Source organism: Homo sapiens, chromosome 2 (assembly GCF_000001405.40).
Source record: "Homo sapiens chromosome 2, GRCh38.p14 Primary Assembly".
Classification (NCBI taxonomy): Eukaryota; Metazoa; Chordata; class Mammalia; order Primates; family Hominidae; genus Homo; species Homo sapiens.
This window is the reverse complement of record NC_000002.12, coordinates 15,725,977-15,736,428: the sequence shown is the minus strand read 5'-3', so window position 1 is coordinate 15,736,428 and position 10,452 is coordinate 15,725,977. Positions and strand designations below refer to the sequence as shown.

The following is a 10,452-nucleotide window of genomic DNA, read 5'->3' as shown; positions in this document are numbered from 1 at the left end:
AAATTAGCTGGGCATGGTGGTGCCTGTAATCCCAGGCACTGGGGAGGCTGAGGCATGAGAATCTCTTGAACTCGGGAGGTGGAGGTTGCAATGCGCTGAGATCACGACACTGCACTCTAGCCTGGGTGACAGAGCGAGACTCCATCTCAAAAATAAATAAATAAATAAATAAAATTGTTGAGCCCCAATGCCTTAGTGCTGCTATTATTGTTGCCTTTCTCCAGCAAATGCCTTGCTTATGTCTGCATTCCTTCCTTCATGTACTCATTCTTCCATTTATACATTTCTCACCAAGCAATTCCTAACCACTTGTGTTGGGCCTAGACTGTGTGCTGGGATGGTGAAGATTCACTTCCAGCCACCCAGGGGACACACACCTAAGCGATTGCTACAACATGATGTGGTGTGTGTTATGACAGAGTCTTGTATGGGTGTTTGGGACACACAGGAGAGAAGAATGAGACCTCTGCCTGGGGGAGGCAGGAGAAGCTGGGTCGCTTGAGTTGTCAGTAAGCAGGGACAAGCATGCTAGCTAGGCAACAGGGCATTCCTGGATGAAAGGATAGCATGTGCAAAGATGCAGAAGCATTAAAAGAGCACAGCATGTTTGAATAACAGGGAGATACTGTTATTCAAATAACAAGGAGATACAAGAATAACTAAATAGCTCAATTCATTCTGGCTGAGACAGAGAGCATGGAGAATGAAGAAGGACACGAGGTATTCCAGGGCTTTTGGGGAACAAATGATCAGGGGCCATGTACTCCACACTAAGGACTTTGAACTTGACCCTGAGGGTAGTGAGGCACCATCAAAAGGTGTGAGGCAGGAGTGTGACATGGTCAGATTTGTTTTCAGAAAGGTCACCTGGCAGCCAGCATGGACACTGGAGCCAAGGGGACGCACTCAGGGATAGAAGGAGGCTGAAGGAGGATATTTCAATGATTAGAACCAAGGGAATGTAGTGGCATCTGGGATGGAGAAAAGGGGCCTGATGAAAGCCATATCTCAAGCCACAGCTCTCTTGCCATTTGCTGTACACGAAAGTTTCAGCTACAGCTCCTTGGGGAAAATAACTAGCAACCGCAGGATGCTACTGGGTTAACATCAACCACCTGTTTGGAGTCACATGCTCTTCTTTGATGAAGGCTATTAGTGAAAGTGTATTTGGAATCCCAAAAGGCTATTTGAATTTCACACCTTGCACTTCCTTGCAGGATTTAGGCTCCTCCAAGAAAATTGTGAAGCAACACATATAATCAAGCCACAAGTTCTCAGACTACAAATAGTCTTTCCCAGCTGCCCTGAACACATTTGCTGCTCATTTGCTCCTGCAGAGACTACCCAGGGTGCTATATTAAGAATGCTAGATAAGAATGCCTGCTCACTACTTGGAGTGGTGGAGGGAGCAGAGGTGTCAAGCCTGGTCTCCAGTCGCCTTCCTTTCTGCTCTCACGCACTGCAGAGCCTCAGGCATGTAGAATACTTACATCCCCTGATCCCCAGTCTTCAATTTTGAAAAACGGGGGCTAATAATGCCTGGTCTGTAGAGTTGTGTAGTCATGTCTAGCCCAGGGTCTGACACATGGCAAATGCTCAGTAATGCTTGTGGCACTGTGACAATGAGCTTTCTGAGCCAGAAAGGGGCTCTCTGAGCTGATGGGGAATGATCAGAGAGTAACTAGACTGCTCCTCAGGGATGATAAACATGTAAAAGCCACCAGCAACTTCTTTCCCAGCCATGTGCAAGAAGCCCAGCTTCTTGCTGGTCAGAGGTTTCTTCACCAAGGGCTCAGACTGGAAACAGGCTAAGGTCATGCTTGGGACCTGGACGGAGTTGTCGCCTCCTGCTTGTGGGGAGAAGCTGCGATCCAACACCCAGCCATTGCTGTAGAGTAATTTCCCTCCACCTTCTGGGAAATGAAAAAGCAGCCAGATGCATGCTTTAAAAATAAACCATGCAAGAGAAAGAAGAATATCATGTGTTTGCTTCCCAAGCTGGTTTGAAATATTTGAAACGCAGAGAGACTCAAATCTGTCAGGAATCAGCAGAGCTCTGAGGTTTGTTTCAACATTTGGAGTGAGAAACAAAGGGATTAGAATCTGTTCTTTAAAGCTTCTATGCAGCATTTGGGATTGCCATAACAATAGGCATGTTTTGCCCTCAAAAGAGAAAGTCAGACCACGCTCCATGTACAATAACAGGATCGCTAATTTGGACCCCGCCAGCAAAATATTTGAAATCACTCAGACAAGGCTCTTCAATCATTTACTTCACAATGATTATGAAGACAGGGTTTGTTCTGTGGCCAAGTGAAAAGAGGTTTTTTAAAACACATATAGCTGCGTGGTTTATATCAACCAATCTGGTGCCAGACGGCCTGAGTCTGGGCCCCGGCTCCCCCACTCATAACTATGTGACCTTGGACAAGTGACTTAACCCCATCGGACCTCTGCAAGCCTCTCTGAAGATTAAATAAGCAAATATTTGCAGAGCATGAAGTCTGACTCATAGTAAGTGCTATGAAAGTGTTTGTAAAATAATAAATTATGTTAAAATGAAGGGTGGAGAATCTTCAGCATGTTTGATGTTTTTTCTTGCTTTAACTGGACTCCTTCCATTTCGGTCTTATCAAATCATTACGATAGATGCCTAAAGAATCTCTCAAGTCTAAGAAGAAGGTGTTATGAATTAAGTCTATAGCTCAAACTTTTTTCCTCCCTGTCTTCCCTGTTGATAAAATTTGGGGAGGGAATCTCTAATTTTTAAAATGTAGGTTTTTCAGAGTCCAGACATAAAGGTTCCAATCGAGCAAGTTTTATCATCAGACAAGTTTGGGAACCACTAACTCAAATGGAATTCCTTCCCAGTTAGTAGGAATAATTGGGTTTGGTTGTCTCTGCTTTTTTCAGTGCCAGGATTTCGTTTCTCTTTCTCTCATCCAAGCGTCCAATACGAAAAGAAATTGGACTTTTATGCCCCAAAACTTCCCCTAGGGATGCAAGGCAGGAGGCCCAGGAGAGGTTAGATCATAGAGCTTTTATTTCAAACGGGAGCTCCATTCAAATAAAACCGCACACCGGCCGGGCGCGGTGGCTCATGCCTGTAATCCCAGCATTTTGGGAGGCCAAGGCGGGCAGATCACAAGGTCAGGAGCTTGAGACCACCCTGGCTAATATGGTGAAACCCCATCTCTACTAAAAACACAAAAAAATTAGCCGGGCGTGGTGGCACATGCCTGTAGTCCCAGCTACTCGGGAGGCTGAGGCAGGAGAATTGCTTGAACCCAGGAGGCGGAGGTTGCGGTGAGCCAAGATCGCACTCCAGCCTGGATGACTGAGCCAGACGCCATCTCAAAAACAATAACAACAACAAAAACCTCACACCATTGCAGCTGCACCTAAGTGAGGCTTCAAGTCAGCCCAAGTAGTTATATCAGAAGGAATGGGGGAAAGATGTTGATAAGCTCAGGTAAGATGCCTCAGAAGCTTTTGAGTTTTTAATTTTTTTAAATCTAAGACATTCCTTAAAGGAAGATGCATATTTGGGTCATAGTGGGTTGGAAAAGATGAAGAAAGATCTTTTGGATTTTGAAGCCCTGGCTTGTACCAGGGAGAGGGAGAGGCCAGCCTCAAGAGATACACTGGGCTCGTTTGGAGACACAGGGCCCGGCCCCACCCCATCTCTAGAACCCTCACCATGATAAGTTCCCATCTGTAAAGTGGAGGTGATGATAATGCCAGTCTCACTATGATTCAACACCAGTGGGGGCTGCAGATGCTGGAAGTTTCAAATCGTATTGGGAATGACATCACACAGATGGCTCCTGGAACCAGGCCACGTGGATAAGCCGCCCAAATGGACAGGCAGTAGTGATCTTCCTCTGGCATAATGAGAAAGGGGCTCAGTGATGGGAAGGTAATTTAGTCCCTGGACCAGCTGAGCTGGGCTGGTAGAAACCTTCCTTCCTCTTTGGAAACTGGAAGTGAGAGGCAGGCAGCTGGTAGGTCTCCCAAGAGGCGTGAAACCTAGTAGAGTGGGTTATTTATGCAAATTACAGAGAAACCCCATGTTATAAGATTACGTCTCCTGAGCTGTTTCTTTTCTGTCCTTGTTGGAGAAGCTGAGATGGACTCAATTCAGTTTCTTCATTCATTCATCCATCCATTCATTCCCTCTCCAACACAATACCTGCTATGTAACAGATATTGTGCAGGGAAACAGAAATAAATCTGACCCTAATTCTGGATCTCCAGAGATCTAATGGAGGGAACCCAGCTTAAGCTTAAACCTGTGATTCAGGACAATAAAGTGAAAGGTGTCTGTTGGTGGAGGGCCTTACAGTACTCCGGGGGCTGCAGGGAAAGAGACAGGGAAGGTTGTCTGAAGCAAGGGGCAACTAAACTAGGTTGATAAACAGGGAAAAGCAGAGGAAGGAGGTTCCAGTCTGAGAAAATACATTGATCAAAGGCAAAGGGCTGTGAGGGTCAGGGGTCAGAATACAAAGCTCTAGTGCTGGAGGGGAGTGCCTAGAATTTAGGGAGCACCTGCTAAGGGGAAGCCCAAACACTTCCCAGAACTCCACCTTGGAAGTGACAGCTTCCAAAATCTGCTTCCCCAAATGGCAAAGAAGCACTAAGGCTAATGTTAGCTTCTCCATGTAATCTCCTAGTCCTTGGCACGCTCCTCCATCCTGCCACTTGCGCCTAGCAGAGGGCTGCCTAGAGTGAGCACTCAGTGACGACAGAGAAAGGAACACACATAAAATTCTGCAAAACTCAAATGCAAGAATAAGTGTGAAATGCATTATAAACCGTAAGGAGCTGTAGAACTGTGAGAAATTGTCACCAATAACGATTGCGTTTCTATCCAACTGCTTTGCAGGGGCTGGCACTCCAGAGATGAGGAACAGCCCTGTCCTCAGGGAACCCAGAAGAGTCAACCAGGGATCCCGGGGCTGCCTGGCCAATGCTCTGACAAGATGAAAGGTTCTTGGAAGAGGTGAAACCTGTGCTAACTCCAAGGGCCCACAGGAGTCAGGCAGGTGAGGAACTGGGGTATGGTGTCCCAGACTGGGAACAATCCCAGCAGGTAACAGAAGGCTGATGGCCCAAGAAGGACATGGGTAAGACAGGCTGGAGGGGCATCCACCAGAGGTGATAGCCTGAGGGGCATCACTTGGATTTCAGTCTCAAGGCAAGCTCAAGTGCTGGGAGAGAACATGGCCACTTTTGTGTTTTGCAGCAGAGCTTATCTAGGGGGACACACGTATGCCATGAAATTAATCCCTTCAGCCCTTGAGGCAGTGGGAGAGTTGGGCAGCTCCTACAGTTGCTGCTGGGTTGCTTCCCCCAGACCACCTTGGAGAAGCATGGGATCAGGGCAATCCCTCCAGCAGCTGGGAAGCAGGAGGCTGTGCTACCCGGGGCCATGGCTCACACCTTGGCACCAAGGAGGTGCCACTAAATACAGATGATGTGAATAATACTGGGATGATTGTGAGCAGCTCCTATGCAACCCCCAGAGGAGGCTTACCCGACCCTGATGCTCAGCACAGTCTTCACAGGACTTTTCAACTCTGCCTTGCTGCATTCCTGATTGCATTTCTTTCCTATGCCCAGATCCGCCCATCTCAGAAGGGCTGCAGAGCCTGGGTTCCTGTGGACCCACCACCCTCCTCACAGGTCAGACTCTGTGGCTTCATCCCAGCTGCTGACCCACTGCCAAACCGCAGCAGCCGGCATCTGCCCCAGGGCTGGACAAGCAGCCTGGCTCTGTGCCCAGCCTGCACAGCTGGGAAAGAATGAGTCAGCAGTGTCTTGTCTCCTTGGCCTTACGCTAAGCATGACCTATTACAAGGAAGTAAATAACTGGGGAATGGTCCCAGCAGGGAACTCCCTGAAACCTCAGGGTCTCAGGAATGGGACAAATCTTAGAGGTCTTTTGCACAAATGCTCTTCATGCACTACAGGAGCTCAGCCTATGGAGCCACACTGCCTGGTGTCAAAGCCCTGTGGGACCCTGAGCAAGTTAATAACCCTCTGTTCCTCTGTCAAATGAGGATAATAATAGTATTTACCTAATAGGGTCGTTATGAAAATTGAGTTAATTGGCGTAAAGTGTACACAGCATATAGTAACAACTAACAAGTGTTAGCTATTACTATTGTTATCGTTATGTGAAGCGATCCCTTCTCTGGCATCTCTTATGATTAAGCCCTCATACAAGTGCTTCCAGAGACATGAAGGTCATTACCACGAGAGGCAAACTCTAAGCTGTCTTTCTCTTGGCCTGTACAAAACACAACTGTTACCTCTCATCCTGACGGATATTCACAGTAGATCTCCTCTTCCTGGTATGCCCACCTCCACTCTAGGATGAGACCCTCACTTCCTTCCGAAGTTTTTCAAAGGGAATACTTGTTGTCTCTTTGCCCCCCTTGGCCCCTTCTTCTCGTGATATGCTAATTTGTCCACTCTTCCTCTGAACAACTGAAAACAATGTTCCAGGAGTGGGCAGACCAGCACAAATAGAATAAGAGCATCATCTTTCTTGTTCTAGGCACTGAATCTCTAGCAATCCAGCCTGAAGTCACATTAGCTAACTGACTGCCCCCATACACAGCTGGCCCATAAAATCTCGGTTAATTTGGCTGGGCATGGTGGCTCACGCCTATAATCCCAGCATTTTGGGAGGCTGAGGCAGGTGGATCACCTGAGTCAGGAGTTTGAGACCAGCCTGGCCAACATAGTGAAACCACATTTCTCCTTAAAAAAAATAAAACAAAATTGAGGTTAATTTTAGTTAGAACCTTCTAGGGTCCTTCTCTCATACCCTTGTGCTTGCCATATATCCCCATCACCCCCTGCCAATCTGAGCTAGTTGGTTCAGCTTTTTTGACTCCAAGACAAGACTTCACACTCAATGCTTTAACTTTCATTGTGTCTGCTCTGGCCTGACTTTCATAAAAAGTCACCACCATGATGTCAGCTGTGAGTGTCATTGGTCCATTCTTGTCCAAGCAATCGATTGCAGCTACCCTGACCCAGCTCCTGTGTCCCTTTCCTGAGTCCTTTACACCTTAGCGGTAAGGTGATGGGCACGAGAAGGACTCAGTCCATCTGCAGGTGGAGTCAGCAGATCCCTTCTGCCTTCCAGTCACAGACCTGAAAACCAAACGCTGAGATCGCCCAAAGTTCATGGAGCCACCAATATCCAGAAACAGATGAAAATGTTTAGGAGGCAAGAGGCAGGCCTGGAAGAACCCGAGGACGCCACCTGGGCCCTAGTCCCACTTGGACACTGGCTCTGGGTGTGACCTTGGGTGAGAAACATCCCCTCTAGGCCTCACCCTCCTTATCTATTGAACTTGATAATTCAGGCCATCTCACCCGCAAAGTTCATCACCCCTTCAAATAACTCTGTCACCCACAGTACTTTATTGCACCCCCCTGCTCCATGGGTTAGGACACAAGGAGGTCCTTTCTTTCCGTATCCCACAGGTACATTTAAAGGCTCACCATATGATTATCTAGTCATGGTTCAGACTAAGGAGCTATATTGTAACTACTTTTCCTGCATGTTAACTTTTCCTGAACATAAATCTTGTCTCCGCAGCGAATCCCCCAGGAGTGGGGAGTCTTCCTCCCTACCCCTCTCCCCCTGCCTTCTTTTCCCCATCTGACGTACCATCTGTGTGTTTATTGTTGGTTTTCTCCTCTTGAATGTAACAGAAGCAGCCAGGTTTCATTAATCCCCATATTCTTCTAAACTATAGCTCCAAACTGAGGGTGTGACATTGAGGAAGGGCTCTGCAAATATTTGTTCATCACTAGTTGATTGATGTCATTTGGATTTTCTTAAGCCCACATCTCTAATGCACTGGCAGAATTCGATGAATTCTACTGCAGAAAGGGGAAGGAAGCCTGGTGTATCCAAGACAGAGTCATTCATGCTAGACCAGGATGAACCCAGGAGGTCTCCCAGGGTGGGGCTGGATTTCCTCCTCCGCACCCACCTGGAGGGACGCTAACTCATTCCTGCACAGGCCACCAGCTATGACCATCACAAAGGCTCAGTCTATGCTCCAGAGCGCTGCTCGGACAAGTGTTTTCAGCAGGCATTCAATGACACCATGTGACTGTGTTAGTGACTCCAACCACAGGAGGCTCATCTCCATCTCTTTTGTCCTCTGTTCAGAGCTGCCCAGAAATCCTTTATCAGGATTCGGCATCCTCCAATATGATGGACCAGAGCTGAGTCTCAAGAAGGGGAAGTTCCCAGAGAGCAATAGATGGCACAGTTTTAAAGCAATGGTTGACATACTTATATTTTCAAAATATCTGTGGTGTTTGGAATATGTAATAAAAGATACACCTGTTTTCTTTTGCACAAGTTTGTCCAACCCAAGGCCCAGCGGCCCAGGACAGCTTTGAATGCAGCCCAACACAAATTCATAAACTTTCTTAAAACATTATGAGATTTTTTGCAATTTTTTTAGCTCCTCAGCTATCGTTAGTGTTAGTGTATTTTATGTGTGGCCCAAGACAATTCTTCTTCCAACGTGGCCCAGGGAAACCAAAAGAGAGCCCTGCTTTACAGGTCTCAAGTGTAGACTCTCAGTGTGAGCCCGCTGGCCTCCCTGTGTGTTGTTTGTTCCCTTCCCAGGGCCTTCAGCACCTGGGATGCTTTTCCTTCATGCAGCCACCTGGCTTCTACCCTCACAAGGGTTGAAGGTTTCCACTCAAAAGTCACCTTAGTAGAGAGGTTGTCCACATCACACTCTATGCGACAACAGTCCCCCTCTGGCTCTGAGAGGGTCACTGTCCCTCTCCTTCTTTTCCCTGTGTGACATACCATCTGTGTGTTTATTGTTGGTTTTCTTCTCTTGAATGTGAACTCCAAGACAGCAGAGATTTTTTTTTTTTTTGAGACATAGTCTCGTTCTGTCACCAGGCTGGAGTGCAGTGGTGATCTCGGCTCACTGCAGCCTCCGACTCCCAGGTTCAAACAATTCTCCTGCCTCAGCCTCCCAAGTAGCTGGGATTACAGGCACGTGCCACCACAGCCGGCTAATTTTTGTATTTTTAGTAGAGACGGGGTTTCACTGTGTTGGCCAGGATGGTCTCGATCTCCTGACCTCATGATCCGCCCACCTCGGCCTCCCAGAGTGCTGGGATTACAGGCATGAGCCACCACACCCGGTGACAGCAGATTTTTGTCAGTGTTCACTTCCATGGTGTCCCATGCTGAGATCAGTGCCTGACTAAGAACAGGCACTCAACACACAGGTGTCCCATGAGTGACTTAATAGGGAAATATCTGGGGACCTGGGACACTGAAATAAGGCATTACAGGACTTAATCTCAAAGCTTTGACCTACCTGACAGTGAGACCCGGGGCCTCAGGCTGTCTATCTTGAGAAACATGAAAATTGCACCTGTCCACTGTGGCCCGAGAATAATAAGATGATTCAATAAGACAAAATGTTTAAAAAGGCTTTGCAAACTTATAGCCCACTGCAGAGAAAAAAAAAATGGTACTGTTGCAATGATCCAAGGTTCTACTACTCAAGTTGGTGGGAGGCTTAGAAGCCACCTCCAGAACCCCCAAACTATGGAGGCCCAGAGAGGGGCTCTGCCTCACCCAGAGTCACGTGGCTCACCATGGCCACCCTTCATCTGTGCTCATGAGGTGCTGAGCTCTGCAGGCATTGGTGAGTTCCCAGGCTACTCAGGAAAGTGAGGCAGCACATGGACCTTGGCCAGACTGTTCTCATTTCAGGAAATGGGTTCTTATCCCCAGGAGTGGTAAGTCTTATTCCAGGTGGGCACACGCTGAGCACATCCAACCAAACCACACAGATCCTCCGGGGCCTGCAGGTTGGTACCAAACACAAGCTCGGGGCACAGATGGTGTTTTGATCCCTTTATCCCAAGCAACAGATCACAGACAAGACAGAGTACTGACCAGCTCCCTCCCCTCGCAAAGAATCACAAGGAGGCATGGCTGCCCTGGGGCCTTTCTTGGAGTGTGCGTCCCTGTGTGGAGACCCACAGACTCTGCAGGTATCTACCTGCTGCAGGGAAAGCCCAGACACCTATGTCAGCCTGGCCCCAATGTGAGCTTTGTCTTCTGGGACCTTATTTTTGCACGTCCAGAGAAGCCTGAGCAAGACTGCACCCACCTGGCTTCCCTTAGACTCTGGATTGAGTTGAAGAGCACCCCCAAATTCATGTTCTTCCCAGGAATGCAGAATGCAACCTTATTTGGAAACTGGAATAGGGTGGACCCTAAATCCAATATGATTAGTATTCTTGTAAAAAGGGGAGAAGACAACAGAGACAGACAGTGTGGGGCTGGGGGGACCAGGTGACAACGAAGGCAGGGATTGGAGCGATGTATCCGCGAGCCAAGGAGCAGCAAGGGTTGCAGCAGCACCAGCAGTGGAG

At 47.9% G+C, this 10,452-nt stretch overlaps 1 annotated feature.

Moving 5' to 3' along the window:
• Positions 4,083-4,142: a silencer, noted in NCBI's record as "silent region_11185". NCBI's record gives its function as "represses an Ori minimal core promoter by ATAC-STARR-seq in GM12878 lymphoblastoid cells {active_cell/tissue: GM12878}" and the evidence as "EXISTENCE:reporter gene assay evidence [ECO:0000049][PMID:35858748]".